At 34.9% G+C, this 21793-nt stretch overlaps 2 long non-coding RNA genes across 6 annotated transcripts in view; one reads left to right on the top strand and one right to left on the bottom strand.

The window, feature by feature from the left end:
- LOC101928669 (uncharacterized) overlaps positions 1–17705 on the top strand; it is a 75950-nt gene extending 58245 nt beyond the window's left edge. For 3 of the 5 annotated variants that reach the window (XR_001756114.3, XR_007068513.1, XR_007068512.1), the window contains one exon: positions 2388–7894. This is a non-coding gene — a long non-coding RNA (uncharacterized LOC101928669). Of the gene's footprint in view, positions 1–2387; positions 7895–17250 lie in introns of those variants that run through there. The other 2 variants (XR_001756113.2, XR_007068510.1) reach the window with 1 other exon arrangement.
- Positions 6030–21697, bottom strand: LOC105379426 (putative ankyrin repeat domain-containing protein 20A2). Its single transcript, XR_001756105.2, has 6 exons — positions 20126–21697; positions 19962–20034; positions 13923–13993; positions 9712–9875; positions 8154–8348; positions 6030–7001 (listed from the first exon to the last, which is right to left on the bottom strand). It is a non-coding gene; the product is annotated as a putative ankyrin repeat domain-containing protein 20A2 (long non-coding RNA).
- Positions 21698–21793: the final 96 nt, after the last annotated feature.

Raw genomic sequence — 21793 nt, 5'->3', positions numbered from 1 at the left:
ATGGCCCTCATTAAGGTAGCCCAATCTCCCCTTCTAGGTCTTCCCAGATCTGGGGAAGATTAACTAAGAGCCTGAGGCATTTAAAGTTTGAAAAGATATATTTACTCTCTATTTTCTCAACATATTTTGGCAGAATTTGGATTTTTCCATTATCAATATTTTCCAAAATGCATGATTTTTAATACCAAAACTGATTTAAAAGTACCATACGTTGGAATATAAATTATTCTATTATAAAGATACATGCATTTGCATGTTCACTGCAGCACTATTCACAATAGTAAAGACATGGAATCAACACAGATGGACATTATCAGTGATAATGGGATAAAGAAAATGTGGTATATATACACCATGGAATACTATGGAGCCATAAAAATGAATGAGATCATGCTCTTTGCAGGGATATGGATGAACCCGAAGCTGATATCTTCAGCAAACTAATGCAGGAAGAAAAAACCAAACACTGCATCTTCTCACTTATAAGTGGGAGCTGAACGATAAGAACACATGGACTCAGGGAGGGGAACAACAAACACTGGGGCCTGTTGGGGTCAGGAGGGAGAGCATCAAGATCAATAACTAATGCCCACAGGGCTTAATATCTAGGTGATGGATTGATAGGTGCAGCAAGCCATCATGGAACACGTTTACCTATATAAGAAACTTGTTGGCCAGACTGGTCTTGAACTCCTGACCTCATGATCTTCCTGCCTTGGCCTCCCAAAGTGCTGGGATTACAGGTGTGGCCACCATGCCTGGTGGCTATTTCTCTTTTTAAATTCTCTCAGGACTCCTAAAATCTCAAAACTTTGACCTAGATTCCCTAATCTACATTTCCAGCTCTGACCATTTTCTTGAGGTCTCTTCCTTCTAGTACCCATATTATAGAAAATATTCTCAACCACATGCTCATACATTGCTAATTGGTGCAGATTACTTTTGTAGATAGTGAATGTTGTCTATTTTATGTTGGTTCTCATTAATGTTACTTTGAGTATACTGTTATTTTCTAATCTCAAAGGGGGACTATCTCACTGTTATGATACTAACCAGTATATTTTGTCCTTTTTTTCTTGCTTTCTTCTTTTTTGGACCAGTATACTTTGTCCCTTTTTTTGTTTTTCTTTTTTTCTTTTTTTTGATGGAGTCACACTGTGTCATCCAGGCTGGAGTGCAGTGGCACCATCTCGGCTTACTGCAACTTCCACCTCCTGGGTTCAAGTGATTCTCCTGCCTCGGCATCCCAAGTAGCTGCGACTACAGGTGCACACCACCACACCTGGCTAATTTTTGTATTTTCAGTAGAGACAGGGTTTCACCATGTTGGCCAGGCTGTTTTTGAACTGCTGACCTCAGGTAATCCACGCACCTCAGCCTCCCAAAGTGTTGGGATTACAGACGTGAGCCACGGCACCCAGCCCTCTTTTTCTTTTATGATGAAAACTTTCCCATGAGAATCATATTATCAATTGTTTGCCTTTGTTTTCTTTTAAAGAAATTCCTTTTCCATAGAGATATGGCATGATGAAAGTCTTGTTCTAAAGTTTCTTTTGGGGGACATTTAACTATGTCATTGGGAAGCTTCAGTAAGTAGAGATCTCCCTTCTTCTCACTCAAGATTCTTCATCTCAAAATGGTGTCCACCAAATGTCTTAATCCAGTTAGTCTTTTGTGTAGAAATTCATGAAATAAGAACCTTCTTGAGAAGTTGGAGGCTAGTGATTGAGATGGTTTAACGCTGCCCCTTATTATATGTTTTACTCCCAAGGTAGACATCAAAGTGGCTAATAATTCTATGACTGATGTCTAACTCACTTCTAAGGGAATCTATACAAAACGTTTTATTTATGAGACAGAGTCTCCCTCTGTTACCGAGCCTGGAGCGCAGCGGCTTGATCACTGTTCACTACAGCCTCAATATTCCAAGCTCAAACGACCCTCCTACCACAGCCTCCCAATGTAGCTGGGACTACAGGCGTGCACCACCATGCCTCAGATAAGTGTTTAAATTTTTTTTTTTTTTTTTTTTTTTTTTTTTTTTTTTTTTTTTTTTTAGAGACAGGGTCTCACTATATTGCTCTGGCTGGTCTCAAACTCATGGGCTCAAATGATCCTACTGCTTCAGCCTTCCAAAACCAGGTGTTTAACTGGGGACTAACATGAAACACTTAGAAGACTACGTGGAACATAGTGAGCTACATAAAATATTTGCTATTAGCATAATAATTTTATTGTATATCTTAACAAAATTGTGTATTTTAGGCAGGTGGCATGCCAATGGAAGTACTCTCCTATAGCTGCACTGAATCATTCTTACCACTGAGAGTTGCAGCAAATGGGGGACATAATTTGTAACTTACTTTTCTCTCTGTATGACTCATTAGGCAATGACTATGTATGTACTACAATGTAAACAGCACCTCCTGGATTGAATAGTACATAACTGACATGACCAGCAGAGACAGGCTAAAGACACTGAGCTGAAAACCCTGGACTCTATTGCTAAATCAAGGCTCCTGAATCCGTTCCCTCTGAGCAACTGTTGCTGTGGTGCTGCCTTCACAAGCACTCTGCTGAGCACTCAGATTGAGAGGCTGTGCTATCCGTCATCGGACAAGCTGCACCCAGAACTGTTCAGCTGACAAACTGGTACCAGTCCAGAAACACAGTTCTGCTGCATAGTGAAAAAAGGCCAATTTAGATTATTTTTCATAGAGAGAAAAACATAAACATGTGATTGAACGAGTCTCCTGTATTAGACTAATTGGGTTGGCTTTGATATTTAATTGCTAAAAACACACTTAGAATACAAACCTTACTGTGTCAAGGTCTCAAAGAAGAAATAATTGGTATGGTATAAAGTATTGAATTGTATGCTACAAACTTCTAAGCTAAAATATTTTCAATGTATGCAAGGATAGGTGGCATACATATTATATATTATTCCCCCATTAAGCAAATTTATAATGAGAGAAAACTATCTTCCATAAAAAAATAAAAGCCATGTAAAATTAAGAACTAAGTTTTTCTGCACAGACTAGACAACGATTGCTAACACATGAGGTCAATGAGAGAACACTCAGAGAAAGCTTCATGAAAACAATAAATTGTCTGCCACGTCTGAGTGAATGAGGCTAGATGAATAGAAACTGAGAAGGCAGAAAGGATAGCATGAGCAAGACAAGTGCTGAAATCTGCCCAATTAACTCTGAGGATAAAGTCCAATGGCAGAGAAATAAAAACGCTTGTCCACATAATAACCTGTAAGTGAATGTTCGCAGCAGCATTTTTCATAAGAGCTAAACAGTGGAAACTAACCTAAAGGTCCATCAACCGATGAATGAATGGAAAACCAGTATAGACATGGAATAGAATATCACTTAACTATAAGAAGAAATAAACTACCAATGTGTGCTAAAACATTATGCTAAGTGAATTCTGAAAACATTATGCTAAGTGAAAAAGCCAGTCACAAAGGACTACGTATTGTATAATTCTATGTATATGAAATAAGCAGAACAGGTAAACATATGGAGACAAAAGTAGATAGATGGTGGTTGCCTACAACAGAGGTAGGTGGAGGGACATGGAGGAAGGCTGCAGTCATGCCTAGGAGATGTGGGGTTGCTTTTCAGGTGATGAAAATGCTGTGAATATACTAATAGATACTCAGTTGTACATTTTAAATGGTTGAACTCTCTCAAATGTGAATGATATCTCAGTGAAACTGTCTTTAAAATCCAAAGGCAGGATCAAGATAATTTTCTCAACTCTCAATTTTTGATGTACATGTTATCTCAAATTTAAATATTTCCACAGTTTTATAGTATATTTTAAATAAAAGATAAAGAAAATGCCTAACATTTCAAATAGTTTGTAAATTAACCTAAAACATGCACTTTTAAAAGAATAGTATAATGGCCTTTCTGTACAAGTTAACCTAGAATCTGTGAAATAAATAGACACAGATTCTGTGTCCACTCACAAAAGTGAAGAAATAAGACAATTTTCTGGAACATTCCATGAAACATTCTTCTCTGATTTAATCTGGCCTGCCTCATCAGAGCAATACAAAAATTACTTAAAAATACTGTTTTAACAGGACAAAAGTCAGTTTTCTATGAGGAATGATGTATAATTCTCAACTTTTCCAAGGGTACATATTGTAAAAGAAAAGGTATGCAATGGTTTTTCAAAATGGTAGAATGAAAGTCACTATATAAAAAAATAAGTACATTATAGAGATAGTAAAATGGAAATAATTCATTGTAATGAAAATAAAAAATCAAGCTTCTGCCATAATTAGTATCCTAAAACATGTTATGTAATTCAACTAGCTACAGAATAACCGTTGACATGCTAAGTTCCATACATACTTGACTTTCCACTTGAAATAATTTCTTCTTTGGGACCTGTGTCTCATCCAAATTAATGTGATAATGTGATATACTTCCAGTGGAGACTCTAACATAGTTAATTTTTTTAGGCTGTCAGCTGCTTCTTGCTGAAGTTGTCTCACAACCACCTGAGAAAATAGTTTTGTTACTGATTTTATAAATTGCCTTATTATTAAATTATGTTAATAATATTTAACTCTAACGTACGTACTTTGAAAATTATCACCACACATATCGATTCACCTTCTTTTAATCACATGTACACATTTTTATTTATTACTGAATTCAGTGAGGGATGCACAATATGTTCTCTTCCTGCCAAATTGGTATTCTCTTACTTACATAACAGATTCATCCCACCATTCAATCATCTTAGAAGCTCAACTCAACCTCAAAGTTCCTCACATATTCAATCACCTGTACAAATCCTTCCAACAGATTCCTATCTCAGAATAAAAGTAAAATTCCAATGGCCTTTGAGGTCCTAGGTAAACAGGTCTCTACCTCCCTCTCTGACTTCAAAGCTCCTACAACTCCCTTCTGTAATTACTCCATTCCCACTGTACGTGAAGCCTGCCACCCCTCAGTCTGAAAATAGGGATCTAATGCCTTACTCATAAATCACAGGCAGCTACAAGTATCTTTGTACTGAACAAAATTATATTCCAATGATAGCCATTGAGCCTTGAAATAAAAATTAGGAGCTAATTATTAATATAAATATTCAAAGTAAACTATAAATACCAGTGGGAAGACTAAACCAAATATACTTTTGCTAAATATTACCACATGTATCCTAAATTATGATTTTATAACAAGTAGGTGCCTTTAAAACATTACATAGTCATAAAAATATGTAATTTGACATATTTTCAGATTTGTTAAATTAATATGATTAATAACAAAGATATACCAACTAAAATACATAAAAAGCTACTTAAAGCAAGGTATTACAAGACACAGCAATACACTTCAGTTCATCTGGGAAATCTAGAATTAAGTGTCAAAGAAAATCAATTAAATTTTAATTTGAAAATACTCATTTCAGGTGTAAACATTTCCATTTATACTTACATTATGGTCTTAACATGTGGCAACATAAAGTCATTAAAATTATTATTTCACCAGTACAGAACTATCTACCTTAAAATATGACTCTGTGCCTAATAAAATTTCATAGGTGACACAATGTCTTTTCTCAAAGTAAATCATCTCTCACCTCTACCTTTTATTTCCTAGAAATGGGGCACGTTTCTAAGCTGGTATAGTAAACACGGTTTTCCTTTTTTTTATTAAAACAGCTTTGTTGAAATATAATTTACATACTATAGAATGTATCTGTTTTAACTTAAAGTTAAAAGATTTTTTAGTCCATTTACTGAGTTGTGCAGCCATCTCTACAATCCAACTTTACAGCATTTCCATCACTGCAAGATCCCTCACGCCCATTAGCAGTCACTACCAGCTTTCAGCCCCAGCCCTTTGCAAACATTAGTCTACTTTTTGTCCCTATACGTTTATCTTTTCTGGATGCTTCATGTAAATGGAATTATACAGTATGGTAAACACACTTTTTATCCATTGATTTTTATATTCAACTAAGTTCAACATGTATCCAGAACCAAATGTTTAAATTTTCTTTCTAAAAGTTTGAAAATATTTATCTTCCTTGATACTTACTACTCTTTCTGCTTTCTCTCTCTCATATTGAAAGAGACTTTCTTTTAAATGATCACATTCATTCATTAGCTTCTTATTTTTCTCTACTAGCATGTGGTCTTTCTTTCCACTTTCCATAAAGCCTCTTTGGATATTAGTTACTATCTCTTTATGATCCTCTTTCTGATGAACATCATCTAGTTGCTGTTCAATGCACGGATTTTCATGTTGGAGTTGACATATCCTCTCTTCTACACAGCTCCACTTTCCAGTGGAATTATTCACTTTAGCTTCTGCATTTTCATACATCTCTTTCATTTCCTTTATTTGCTGCTGTGTTTGGCTTAGGTCGTTTGGAGAGTTTCTAAAGCCAATGACTTTTTTCTGAGAGTATCTCTTTTCTTACGGAACTTATCTTTTAAGGTATTGAATTTAATTTGCTTTTTAGAAAGTTGTTCAGTAAGAAACTCATTCTTATCTTCTACTTCGGAAATATCAGAACTCATTTTTACTTGTACGGAAACATCTTGTGTTCACTCTAATGCAAGTTTTAGGTTTCTTTCTGTTTTCACACTTTCACTGTGCTTACTTATAGCAGCAGTCAGTCTAGACTGATGATTCAATTTCAGCTTCCAGTCTTTTGTTGCTTTCTTCTTCCTTCAACAGTTCGGAATTGAGCCTTGTATTCTCAGCTTTGAGATCATTAAGCTCTTGTTGATACCGGAATGCTGTTTTTGTTATCAATTCCTCATTGAGTTTTATATACTTTTCAAGGGCAGCATTTGTTTTTTTAACAATTTTAGCGTCCTTAAGATATTTATTTTCTTTTTCCAGGTTGTCATTTTTCATTGTGCATATTTCCTGTCGGAGTATAGCAATATCTGTCTTCAAAATGCAATTTTCATCCATCAGATCTTTCATTTCTTCCTGATTATGAAAATCCTAAATAAAACAAAAGAAAGTTTTAGCTAGTACTCAATAAAATATCATGATTACCTCTGAAGTTAAAGAATAACCTGCACATCCATATACTAAAAAGGTTACTGTAAGTGGATATCCAACTGGAGAAAAAGTTGAAGCAAAACTTTGTACTTTATAGAGCATAAGTTCCAAAAAGTTCAGAAATTTATTTAAAGTCAATGAATTTATAAAAGTAAACACACACACACACACGCACACCAGAGAATTTTTAAGAATTTCAGAATTGGAAAAGCCTTTCCCTGAATTACAACAAACTCAAAAGCATAAATTAAAGCATTAACAAATTTGACTAAATTAAAATATATCAAAAATTGCATTTACACTTTGATATCTAACCCATACACCACCCTATAGTAAGAACCTTATTTCACACATATTTGGACAGATAAAATTTCCCAGAGTTATTACAGTTCTGTTTCACTGATAACATTCTATTTTAATTTGACTCTTTTAACACTTTTATAGTCAGTTGAAAGAATTACATTTACTAAATCATAAATCTAGACATTATACTAGTCACTCCTATATACATTCATTGATGAACTCATCTAGTTACCACAAATTTGAAAAAGAAATGTTAAAAATATAAGCAAGCTACAGGATTTTCCCCAGGACTTCTTACTCTACTTCTAGTTCTCTGACAGATCACAGTTACTTCTGTGGTGTAAATGTATCAATACGAAAGAAAACTTTTATTTCAAAACACCAATGGTAAATAAGATAAAATTTATAGAGCTCTTCTTAGAATATCATGAGATTATTTGTGATTGCAATAATTTGTTTCCTCTTTATAGTATTAGGTACAGTAATCAATATGAAATGGCGGGAAGTACAAGGAACAATTTTACTGGGAACAAAATCTTTATCAATAGGTTATCACTAAGTATATATTATGGCATATTATTGTTTTCAAAAGCTCTTTGTAATAAAATAATATCCTATGTGGATGCCAAGATTTATAATAAAAATAATTGTACCTGTAAGTGTCATCATTCATTTTTTAAAAATGAGATAACATTTCTGGTTTGTTTTAGACCAAAATATTATATATTAAATCAAGAGGATATTATAAGTAACATTGATAAAATAAAGTTTAAAATATAGAATTTTTACCAAAGATTGATTTATCTGATTTGGAGTATTTCTTGTAGTCTTCGGTTTCATCTCTAGTGATTCAATAGTTGGTTCAAGTTGTTTTGCTTCAACTTCTTTCTTATATTGTTTCTCTTTCCTTTCTAATTCTTCTCTATTTTTTTGTACAGCATATTAACGTTTGTTTTTTCTTCACTTTCTTGTCTTAAGATGCATCTGCAGACAAAGACATTTATCTTAAAATTCATTTTGTTAAAAAATAAAGAGATCATCCTGTGATCTACCTCTGCAGATGCTCTTTATCATCCTAGTAAAATTTCTATGTTCTGGATTATTTTTCCTTTGTAGTTCTCAAATATTTAATTTCTCACTTCAACATCTTCAAACGAATGCATATACTTGAAAAGTAGTAAGGAAAGAATATTCTGCTAAAGTTTTTATTACTAGTCACTCTAGTATGTATTATACAAAAAGATACTGGAAATAATTCAGTATAGTTAGAAGTTCAAAACTACCTTTTCAAATCACACAGTCATAATTACTACCTGATTAGAAAAGGTCATTTACAATCAACTAAATTTTTAAAGTTACTATTTATTGACAAGCGTATAAGTTCACTAGAAATAAGTTTTCATCTCTATGAAATATTGCAGGTGTCTCTCCAAATGATTTACAGAGTAAGATGTCTCTCACACAAACTATATCTGCAGATTATTGTCATCTAAAACTAGGCTAAAGAGTCTAACATCTGTTACCCCACACTTTTTCTAATTCTTTCTTAATACTTCCAATTCACCTTATTACATATATTTTATATATTTATTAAGCTATTGTTCATTATGTGTAATATATAATTAATGCCCTTAATAAGTGTGTGTATGTTTACACAAGTTATGTTTTCCTGTGAAATCTAGTCCCAGAAGTGGAGTTGTTGAGTTAAAGGGATGTCAGGTTATTTGAAATTTTGATAAACAGCACTAAGTTACCCTTCAGAAATAATTTACCAATTTCATATACCAACAGTGTATGAGAATGCCTTTTTCCTCTCATTTTCAATGGTAGGAATTACTTTTTCAATATCAGCATGACTTTACAAAATATATCTTATTTTATGTTAATTTGCATTTTTCTGATTACCAGGCAGGGCTAAATATCCCTGGTAAAACTATAAAACTTTTTAATCATAATGAACATTAGTCCAATTTTGAATTAGTTTATAGCACAATGACAATTATCTGCTGAGAAATACTGCTATAGGTGGCCAGGCACGGTGGCTCATTCCTGTAAACCCAGCACTTTGGGAGGCCGAGGTGGGCAGAACACCTGAGGTCAGGAGTTCGAGACAAGCCTGGATAACATGGCGAAACATCATTTCTACTAAAAATACAAGAAATTAGCTAGGCATGGTGGCACATGTCTGTAATCTCAGCTACTAGGGAGGCTGAGTCAAGAGAATCACTTGAACCCAGTATGCATAGGTTGCAGTGAGGTGAGAACACACCATTGCACTCCAGCTTGGGTAACAAGAGAGAAACTCCATCTCAAAAAAAAAAAAAAAAACTGCTATAGGCTTACTTACCTATCATGCTCTTCCTTCAGTTTCTTGGGAAATTGCTGAGGATACGTTTTCCCAATCTTTCTTTCTTTGGTTAATCTGTCAGCAGCAGCAGAAGATGTACTATGACATACATTTTCTGATAGTTGTATTTTTTCACTTTTGTTTGTATTATTTCCTTCTTTGACCTTTAATAAAAGTAATATGAATAATAATTATTATTTTATTCAATAAAAAAACTTTTTCCCTGATTTTTTAACTTGATTCAGGTTAACTATCGCCATTTTAATGATAAAAGTATTTTGTGCTTACTTTAATTTTATCATTATACATAATAATTATAAGATACTCATCATTTTATCATTGAAATTTTTGTCAAGTCTGCTCATTTCTGTTTGAGTGAATGGAAGAATTTTCCAAAATTTCAAAAAGGACTCTTCTCCATTTTGTGCTTTTATTCGCATCCACTCTTTGCTATCTGATATAAATGTTTATGCTAGTTGACTGGCAGAAACAGAGAAATAAAAAGACACAGGCATAACATATATCTTCTGTCATTGCCACATGGATTTTACATGAAATAGCCAGATTAAGAGGATGTAACCTTGTAGGCCTTCAAGAACAGTAAAGAAGTTTTCCCTTTTCTGCACTGAGCTATTCTTTTCCCCACTGCCTTTTATCTCTTTTTTTTTTTTTGAATCCTGGGATATCAAAAAAGTGAAAGTTCTCCCTGAACTATGGGAACCAATGTTTGTTTGCCACAACACAAGAAGCAGAGTGAAACTGCTGAGTTTCTAGTGCAGAATTCTGGAAAACGAGATGCTTCCCAGATTTCACATTCAATTACCACAAATGTTTATAGGTGGAACACATATGGTACAGTTATCTACTTAAGCCATATTATCTACTGAAAACGGGAGTCAAACCAACCAAGACATATGAAATGTTTCATCCAGAGCTCTTGAGGCGGCATTCCCTAGCATTTCATGGCACCAAATAACATGATACAATTCCATGTTGCCGAATTACATAAATTACCAGATAAATTTATCAAATTAGTCAGATATATTAAAAGTCTAACTTGAGCAAAGCAATTTAACACCTCAGAGGGTGGAAAAAGGCCTCATCTACTTTTACTTTGAAAGAAGAAAATCTCTAGATTTTTGTCTATCTTTAGAACACAGTGTACAGAACTCAACTTTCTACTAAAGAGTCAAAGGTTAAATTTTTAGCTAAGAAATTATGCTTCTTACATGATAAAAATCATACATGCCAAAACTTACCATACTTTATTAAACAACATAATGTAAGGTCTGATTCAACAGAAATATTGGAGTGGTGATTTTTTAAAATATGTGGAAGTATATATTTGTTTTCAAAATATTAGAAATAACCATGATGGAACTATAAATTCAAACAGTTTGAGCTAAGCAGATAAACTTGCATGCATGAAAACACATTAAACAGACTCATTTGGCTGGGAATATTCATTGCAACTCTCAAGGCTAGAAGTGTTTTTGTGGCTCATCTCAGTCATTGCTTCCCTCCCATTGTATTCCCATTCTATCATTAAATAAATGTAATTCATCTCTAAATGACTATAGTAAAAAGAATCTAGAATCTAAAACTTATTTCTTTAGCAATTTCTTTATGTTGATCTGGTTCAGAAGGTCACATGGTATATGGCTGAATTAGTTTCCCAGCTCATATGCCACTTGGAAGACTGAGAGTGAGAATTAGGTTGATTAATGAACAAACATTATGAGAACATTCTCCAGAACCGTTGTTTAGATAGCAGGACTAGTCTACTTTGACACATAATTACACATTTAGAAAACCCCGCTGTAACTGTACACATGGGATTTTCTTGAATAGAAAATATGACTAAATCAAATAATTGATAAAGAGAAAAAAGAAGCAGCAAGTGAACCTCTGTCTTTTTGAAGTTGGACTTTCTCTTTCTCCAAAGCCAGGAACTCTACTTGTAACATGCCTACCTCATTCTTTTTACTATTATTATACTTTAAATTCTGGTACATGTGCACAATGTGCAGGTTTGTTACATATGTATACATGTGCTATGTTAGTGACCTTGAAATATCTTGCTGTAAGTTTCTAGCTATATTTTTGATGTTCTCTCACTATGTGGCAAATAATAACCCGGATTTTATAATTCAAGATTCATGGTTTTGTAGTTATTAACACTGGGATTGTCATTCAGTGGCTTCTGGAATAAGCATTGTGTTGGTTTTCTGTTTTTATAAGTATCTGTAGCAGCAGAAATACTGTGGCTTTCTATCTGAATCATATGCTTCATTTCTTTGGGGTGGGTAAGCCACAAATCAAAAAGACTTTCTGGATCTCTAGACTGAGACCAATGCCTAATGTCTAATTTCCAATTAGTGGTATTTGGGTTTATATATTTTTCCATTTGCATGTCAAACTCTTAATCATCTTTCATTTCAATCATAATTACTGGGTTCCTTACCTTTTCAGTTTCTATATCATAACAAAAATTTTCATCATCTGTGTTAGAAACAAGCTGTGTGTCTGGTTTGTTATCATTTTTATAGTCTGATTTATTTTAATTTAAATGAAGCTTAGAAGATGACTGGTAAGTGTATTTCAGGGACCTGGAGTGTGAATGGAATAAAAAGACATTTGACATGGGCTTCCTCTGTTCAGGCGCTGCCTGGACTGCCACAGAGCTAGACCCTCCAGATACATTTTTCTCCTCACAATCAGGGACATGATTCATCAGACTAGAGGGCACTCCTTTTTTGTTCATCCCTCTTTAGAGTTACCATATAGGAGCTCTTCCTCAGGGCAAGCAGTAATTTTGGAGTTTTCAGAACTTTTACCAATATTCAGCTTGAACTTGTTTGTAATGAATTTTAAAGAAAGTCATGAATATATAGATTGATTCCCCTTATCACTGTTCTTACCCAGTTCTGATTCTTGAGACTTTTTTTGGTGGAGGGCAGGTGCAAAATGGAAAACAAATTTGCTTGTTTTGTTTCTCAGATGTCTTTTCTGTCAGAGTGCATGTTTTAAAATTAGCTTTAATCAAGTATAAACAAAGAAATATTAGAAAATAATTAAAATTTAACTGTGAAACTTAATCTATGTGTTGCTACTCTTAAATTATGGGATTGTAACTAAAAAGTGAAAAATAATTTGCCTTGGCTTAACATAGGACAGAAACATGAACCAGCAAGCTGAACTCTCAGTGTCTGTTTGGACTAAACTTAATGCATTTGTGTAAAATCTACCAGAAATGAATTCAAAGATGATAGGTAGTATTATAAAAGCTTCCTCTCTTACAAAGACTTTACCTCAGCATACCAGAAAGAGTGAGCCCCTACAGTGCATGTTTATTTCTGAAGATTAACTAGAGCACTAGGCAAACACTAAATTATTAAGAGCTAAACTGAACACCAATAAGAAAGAGAAGCAAAATTTTAAATTCTAATTCAAATGATATACTATGATAGTGTTATGTATCTAGATAGAATTTCTGCTTATATCCGCTTCTAATACATTTTAAGTTCCGGTAGTGATAGGGTTTGGATTTTTTAAATTTTAGTAATGTTTACTATGTATTTATGTTGAAATAAAGTTATTGTTCACACCCTGACACCAAAGATCCCATTCTGCAAGGTAGGATTCTCTTAATAGGCAACTGCATTGACTTTTATGACCCCATTCACTCCCTGAACACAGACACAGAAGTCAACTGGTGACCACAAAACAGAATAAATCTTTAACCTCGGCACTGGTGACCAGCAATATAAAACTGCAACATTTGAAGCACTGGCAATGATGACTCCTTTAACACTAGTTTAACTCAGTGGCCATTGTTGTTAAACTGTTCATAATTTCTATTCCTCAGTAATATGACCCAATACTTCATGTTACCTTGTGTATTATGAGTAAGGTTATATAAATAAAACAGCAAGATAATTCTGAAAATTTCTTGCCTCAATTCCAAGGGTAAAGACAGCTATGAGTTACTAGAGATACTAAGAATTACTAGAATAACTAATAGTTACTAGAGATAGTAAGAATATCTTAAGTTTCATAACTGGTTAAGATGTTTTAAAAATTACATATAAAATTATGATCTATTGGGTTCTAAAGGTATAGTCTGAAAGGTCATGTCATTTGGACTATGCTTTGTTAGTAAAGCAAAACAAAAAACCTAATATTAAACAAGAACTTAAATTTTCATATACCTGTGATTGCTTCTTTTCACTTCTTTCACACCTTTCTTGCTCTTCCTCTAAAGCCACTGGTAAGGTTTGTTCTGTTGACAAATTCATTGATTTAGTTCAAATGAACTAAGAAGAGTTAAAGACTATAATCTTTATAAAAATAAATAGAGAATAACATTTCTTTGTATTTTATATTTTGAGAGTTTGAATGAAACAATGTTTACTGAAATATTTACTTCTGTAAGAAATACTTCTAATTATCCAAAACTTCAACAAACCACTTGGGGAGACACCAGATATCACCAGATTCAAGCCATGCAAAATCTCAGGGTCACTCACAAATTGTTCCACCCAACATAAGTCAACAAAACTGTTAGAAACAAAACAGAAATTTGAAATACAGTCAAAATATACAATGTAATGCTTTATTATACTTCATAACAGTATCTTTTTAACAAGACACTAATTGAGTTGGCAGTTACTAATAATTTGCAAAATTATTGTTCTTTATACCTCAATTAGTGTGCACCCCATTTTTTACATCACAAATGTTTTCCCCTGCTATTCTGAAAAATTTATTTTCATCTTTTAAGACTCAGAAAGTAGGCTGGGCATAATAGCTCTCATCTGTAAACCCAGCACTTTGGAAGGCCAAAATGGGAGAATTGCTCAAGGCCAAGAGTTTAAGACCAGCCTGGGAACCATAGGTAACCTTGACTCTACAAAAAATTAGACAGGTATGGTGATATGTTCCTGTTGTCCCCGCTACTCAAGAAGCTTAGATGAGAAGATCCCTCGAGCCCAGGAGTCTGAGGTTTCAGTGAGTCTCAATAATGTCATTGCACTCCAATCCTGGGTGATAGAGTAAGAACTTGTCTCCAAAAAGAGGAAAAAAAAAGGCTCAGAATGCTTTGTGAAATCTTCCTTGATTCTAGCTATCTTTCTCCACACACACAGGTGTCTGCTTCGTTGGGGTCCCTTAGTACCTTGTCAATTTTTCTAGTGTCACTTTACCACCTGACCTGCACATCATGTCTTTACATGTTGACCCCTTTGCTGCTAGACTGTAGAGGACAATCTTTTGAATCATCTTTGTATAAACAGTCTTAATTTTGCTAAATAATTACTTATTGAGTTCCTGCTAAGTGTTAGGCACTGGGGAATAAGGAAGGAAAATAGAAGCTGTCGGGGATGGCTTTCCTAAAGATCATCCATGAGCTGAGACTTAGAGAGTGAGGTTAGCCAGATTAAGCGAGGCAGAGGGCAGGAAAGGGTGAGCACATGCCAGGCAGCAACAAGAGAAGACAAGAAGCCTCCAAGAGAGTATGTATTTCTCTGCAGAAGAGGAATGGTGAGGGGGCCATTACCAGCAGCTCGGTAATTCCAGAGAAAAAGGCAGATGGGGAAAGGGATACAGATGGAGATTTGGGCAGAAATCAGTTTCCTTTTCTTTTCTTTTTTGGGACAAGGTTATACTCTGTCTCCCAGACTGGAGGGCAGTGGCATGATCTCAGCTTACTGCAACCCGGCCTCCCAGGTTCAAGTAATTCTCCTGCCTCAGCCTCCTGAGTAGCTGAGATTACAGGTGCGTGCCACTACCACCTGCTAATTTTTGTATTTTATTAGAGATGGGGTTTCACCTTGTTGGCCAGGCTGGTCTTGAACTCCTGACCTCAAATGATCCACTTGCCTCAGCCTCCCAAAGTGCTGGGATCACAGACATGAGCCACCGTGCCCTACCCAGAAGTCAGTTTCTGAAATCCTTATATAAACCTTTAAGATGCTTGGACATTAGGTATTCAGGAACGGTTCACGGATCTATTTGCATTAGGGATAATTCACTCTAAATACTGTGAGGAGCATAAAATTCTGAGGCATATAAATCAATGAACAAAGATAAAATATAAGGCAATGTTGCAAAGATGATGCAGGCCTGAGGAGATGTTTTCAGAAATATTTAGGATATAGGTATCAGTGGCCATTATAAGAATGAATTTCTATTGAATAAATAAATGTATATATCTGGGTCCCTGGAGAAATACACTCGCTCATTACTTTACAAATTTTATCAATCAAATGAGAAGTAAAATAATATACATAAACTCTTTCAGTTACTTGTATTTACTTTACCCTTTTTCTGTTTCAGTTTTACTGTGCCAAGGAAATGCATTTGGGTTTTGTGGTGGTTGTTGTGGTTGTGGTTGTGGTTGTTTTTGTTTTTTGAGATGGAATTTCACTCTTCCTGCCCAGTCTGAAGTGCAATGGTGTGATCTCAGCTCATGGCAACCTCTGCCTCCTGGGTTCAAGCGATTCTCCTGCCTCAGCCTCCCAAGTAGCTGGAATTACAGGCATGTGCCACCATGAACAGCTAATTTTGTGTTTTTAGTAGAGATGGGTTTCTCCATGTTGGTCAGGCTGGTCTCAAACTCCCAACCTCAGGTTATCTGCCCGCCTCAGCCTCCCAAAGTGCTGGGATTACAGGCACTAGCCACCGCACCCAGCAACATATGGTGATTTTGTTTTAAAAGTTCTGTTTCCTGGATCTACCAAGCTCATGAGAAAATAGAGCAAACAAGTCATTTGCATAGGTAAGAAACTTTGGATTTATAGCTTGTCCTCACTACTCTAGAAGATTATCATCATGTTTTGCAAAGCAAAATGTTAAACACAGACACAAGGGGAAAAAGAAATTAAAACTATAGGGGTGGGTGAAAAAATATTGCATAATTTATTACTGTTGACCTCATCATATGACTGATTAAGGGCACTGAATTTAACTTGGATGTGAAGTAGACCTCATATTAGCTGCAGTTAATCAGTAGACCAGGCGTCCTAGCAGAATTAAATTTGATGCTCCTGTGTTATCTTTAAATGACACAGCTTTTCTGAAAACCCTTACTCATAGCGCATGATTATCCATTAAGAAAAGGTGATGGAATATGTGAATACAGCTGAGGAGACACCACAAGGCAAATGCTCAGTGGTTCCCATTAATATTGGGAAAATCAACACTATAAAACAGAAAGCCATAGACATTATTTAATATTTGGTTTTGGGAGGTATTTTTAGTGACACTGCATACAGTTGTACCTAATAATTGCTAAATTAGAGACGTAAAAGTAAAACAAAGGCACATTTTGTTTGAGTAGGAAATCTATAGACATCTAGCTGGTTTTCCCATCCAGCCACAAAATTCTAAATATAATCATGGTACCTGCACTCAAATTTATGTTAAATACCAACCTCAATGAAATCACTCTTTCTTCTCATTCTCTTTGTTATTTATATGTTGCTTTCCTTAAGGGAAGAATACAAATGCCTTGCTAAGAACCATTCTGTTTGGTTGTAGGCTGCATAAGGGGAGTGAACACAAAGTACATTTGACCACAAAATGACTCTTTAAAAGTCAGAACTACGGTAGCATGAAGCCAAACGAGGTAATCTACAATAAAATTTTCTATGCTTCTTTTCCTTCTTTGCTCTCTTTCTACTCTAATAACTGCGATTCACACAGGTAATGAAGAGTGTAATTCCTTGATAGAAACACAGCTCCAAGATTAATCCTTTCTTTAACTATGAAGTTCGCGTGTCCAAAATCTGTGGTAGTTGCTGTCTGATTTTTGATCACTGATGGTGATACAGATATTTATCATCAACTCACAACTTCCCAAATCTTTGAAAAGTCTTACTATTGATGGTTCAACTAGTAGAAACATGATGTAAAATATCTGAAAATAAAGTTTTTATTTATTAGAATGTAAATAATAATACAAATTGTAATAAAGTGTAAAAGTTCTTTCTTCACTGAAGCAGTACCATGTTGTCCTCTACCCCACAAATGCACTACTCCCCCGTGGTCTAATGTATTTTAAAAGTCTTGTAATTGCTATTAACTCAGACAAGTTTACTTAACTTGTTCTAAGCTTCTGGTATTTACTACAGTTTACTTTCAATCACTCAACCATCTCTGTTATATATGTTGTTTTCCATGAGAAATTTGTTTATTAGTAATTAAGATTCTTCAGGGATAAGAAAATATTTGAATAACTAAGTTTGTGCATAAACACATTAAGGTCAAATACCCATGACATTATTGTGTGTTTCTGTGTACTAGAGACAAAAACTTCAAAAAAAATTTAATGAATATACGTTAAATTAAAAACTGCTTTCATTAAACTGAGATAATCTTCCCTCAATGCATGAATACCTTCAGAATTCACATAGACCAAAGAATTGTATAAAATATAATAGCCTTAAAAATCTTATTTTTAGCTGGCACAGTGGCTCCCACCTGTAATCCCAGCACATTGACAAGCCGAGGTGGGCAGATCACCTGAGGTCAGGAGTTCAAGAGCAGCCTGGCCAAACTGGTGAAACCCCATCTCTACTAAAAATAGAAAAATTAGCAGGGTATGGTAGCACGTGCATGTAGTATCAGCTACTCGAGGGGCTGAGGCAGGAGAATTGCTTGAACCCGAGAGGCAGAGGTGGTAATGAGCCAAGACTGAGCCACTGCACTCCAGCCTTGGTGACAGAGCAAGACTCTGCCTCAAAAACACAAACAAACAAACAAAAAACCTAATTGTTCCCATATAAGTCTATGTTCATACAAGATCTGAAGAGTACACAACACCGTGAGACAGGACAGACATATATTTTAAAAGTTATATTCCTGGTTTCTGTAAAAATAAAATAGTTGAATTTAAGCTTTCAAGACAAGTCAACGAAAAGAGCAAAAAATGCAAAAGTGAAACTCGAAAGGTCATTTCCCCATCAAGGGCTCATGATCACTGGACATTCACAAACTATACTGTTCAAAACATTAGATCTGAATTTTGATCCGAGTATCCCTTTAGTAGCAGTTTCATTCAAGGATGTCCAAGAGGTAAAATAAGACAATATCATTTGCTATTTTCAGTTTTCTTTTCTGAGAACAGCCCAGCATTCTTCTTCAGAGAAATGAATTGTCCTAACTTCATAGGCTAAAGGCTCATGAGTCATAGTTCTAAGGGCATTAATAAAATATGGTGGTGCATGCTTGTATTCTGAACTTTTCAGGTTTAAACTCTCATATAGTAAATGCTAATAGATACAAACCGATTAAAGAAAAGCCCTCTTAATCTGACATTATTTTTCTTTTTATTTCTTCATTTATCAGCAACAGGAGAGTCTAACTAAATGTGGTAAAGTGGTATGAGGGAATACAATGAACAGTGTAAAATGAATTAAACCAGAGATAATCACACCAATGTGGGTACAAGTGGAAAGTATAATACAAAACACACCAAAGAAAGTGGCAGAAAGGTATATAAACTGTATAACCTCTCACATACCATTTTAGGACACAAAAAATTCTGCATATTATTTCTGAGCATCACAATGTAGTTAAAGATTTCAAAAGGGCATTGAAATGAAAAACAACCGACTTATGATGTTGGTAGCCTCTATGCAATCATGTTTTAAAAACTTTAACACCAAAAAGGCTCAAAATCACCATTTTAAAAGGCTGTGTCTACCAGTCATAAATGAATCATTACTTTCATCATTTGTAGTAGTCAAAGATGCCACAAGCGCACGCATACACACATCTATATATACACCTACACACACAGTCTTACTCATTAGAACATCTGATAGGCTTCAGATCATCAGTGTAATAACACTAGCAGCAAGCCTCTGAAGTTAAAACAGAAACTGACACTTTAATAAGTAAAGCTTTCCTCTAGGTAAAGATCAGAACTCCAACTAGCACTTAACTCACTGGAAATATCTTAAGAGTCTCAAAATTCACTGCTTTGAATCCCTGACAAGTATAAAAATTTTATACTGAAAACTTCATGCTATTCAAAACATTAAAACAGAAACATCTGACCTAAAGCTTACATTTTTAAAATCTTTTTTATGCTTCTAAATTTGTTTTTATTCAAATATGGATACCAACAATAACATTTATGTCAAAGCCTTCTGTTCAATATTGAACAAATAGAATTAGGAATAAGAATAATATGAGTACATCCAATCATTGAATGTACTTTATTTACAGTATTCCATTAAATGTACCTGCTCTCAATGTCTGTACATTCTTTCTTTGTACTGCTCCTTTCACAGCAGGATCTTCCACTTCAGTGCTAGGCTGAATGGGTTTTAAAAGAAAACGATTCATAAATCATATATATTTTATACAACATGGAGTTAGTGATTCAAAAATATACATAATTAATTAACTTCAAGGAAGGATGTTTTGCAGGAGGCCCTGCAAAGCAAAGGGGATATGTCATCAATTATATGTAAGTATGACAGGGCCAACCAAACATTCATGCAGTGTTACTGTCGAGCTGAATTCTCAGGCCTGGCTATAAAAATAATTACTTAAGGTTTTGAGGGTTCTTCTTGGCTTCTTCTTTTCATTGCCTAGGACAGCAACATGACAGAAACACAATGAGGAAAATAGGAATATAGGATTCCCAAAATGCACAGTTTACATTTCGTTAGTGAGATTATGTTTCAAATGCCTATACTTAAAATAGAAAAGCATTGATATAACCGTGAACACGTGGACTGATGAGGAGAAAAGGGACCATTAAACAGAGGGGCAAATCAAACCTGAGAGAATCAATGTCAAAGCTGATGGTGAATGTACAGAGTATTTTAACTCCACACACCAGAGGCATTGCTGCCAGCACAGCACAAATAAATTCCCCTTGTCTTGTCACTGAGGAAATACGCAGTTGGGATGACAGTTCAGATGAATGTGGGATTCACCTCTCATCAAAGAAAGGGTTCTACATTGATCAGCTAGGATACACACTTATGAAATAACAGCTAATCAAACTACTCATTTTTCCCATGATCACATGGGCTACTGCAGCACCTACATTTCTCCTATCCCCTCATTTGGCCTTGAATTAGAGCTCCTTGATCCACTCATGCAAGGTGGTCCATAAAACACATCAAATAAACCATGTCGAATAAGCTTCTGATATCAAAATATTTATCAAAAAAGAAAACATTGAATGACCACAGACTTGCTGGATATTAATACATATTTATATTTCAAAATCAGTGCAGTATTTATTGAAAATGATAATTTTGGTTTTCATGGAATGAATTTTATGATTACTTCTAAAATTAACTAAGTTTGGTATATTATCTTACACTGTAAAGGACTTTTATAAAACAGCTATCATATCAAAGAACTGGCTGTCTCAAAAAAATTTCGCCAAAGCATCTATATGCAACTTAATCATATCTTATTCACTCATGTCAGTTAAACTTCTCTCCCTGAGGCCTGACAGTTATCAAGTGAAATGAGCTGCTGTGGTTTACCCCAACTCTAGCACTCCCTCCTGTCTCCAGTACTCTCCACAGCAATAACCTCTTTTGTGAGACTGGGCATATGCTGAAGCAACTGGAAGTGAGTTGTCTCAAGTTTACTTGGCTTTAACTCCCAAGACCCCAGCAAATGTCCTTCTTTCCTCCTTTTGTGTCCTTTCACCATCCCTCTTCCTTTGAAAAAATGATTATCAGAACTGTCATCCTGATGCTTCCCTTCCTAACTGCTTTTTATGGATGATTGTGACCACTTTTTTCATCTGTATTCAGCAGTAGTATACACCTGTAATCTCTCTTTTTTCATCTCATTTTCCTTCCCCTGTGGCTAGAATCATGCTCAGAAATAAAAGGAAATTAAAGCTTTCCCTGGATTCTGTTATTTTTTAAATTGCTCTCCAGTGGTTCTTTTTCCAGATTTCTCTAAAGGAAAGCTATTCCCTTGCTATTCAGAGCTGTGTCCAAGGACCAGCACAAACATCACCTAAGTGCTCATGAGAAATGCAGACTCCAATACCTGCTGAGTCAGAATGTGCACTTTCCAGAAGCTCCTCAACGAATTC

This window comes from Homo sapiens (assembly GCF_000001405.40).
Source record: "Homo sapiens chromosome 3 unlocalized genomic scaffold, GRCh38.p14 Primary Assembly HSCHR3UN_CTG2".
Lineage (NCBI taxonomy): Eukaryota > Metazoa > Chordata > Mammalia > Primates > Hominidae > Homo > Homo sapiens.
This window is presented reverse-complemented; position numbering and strand designations above follow the sequence as displayed.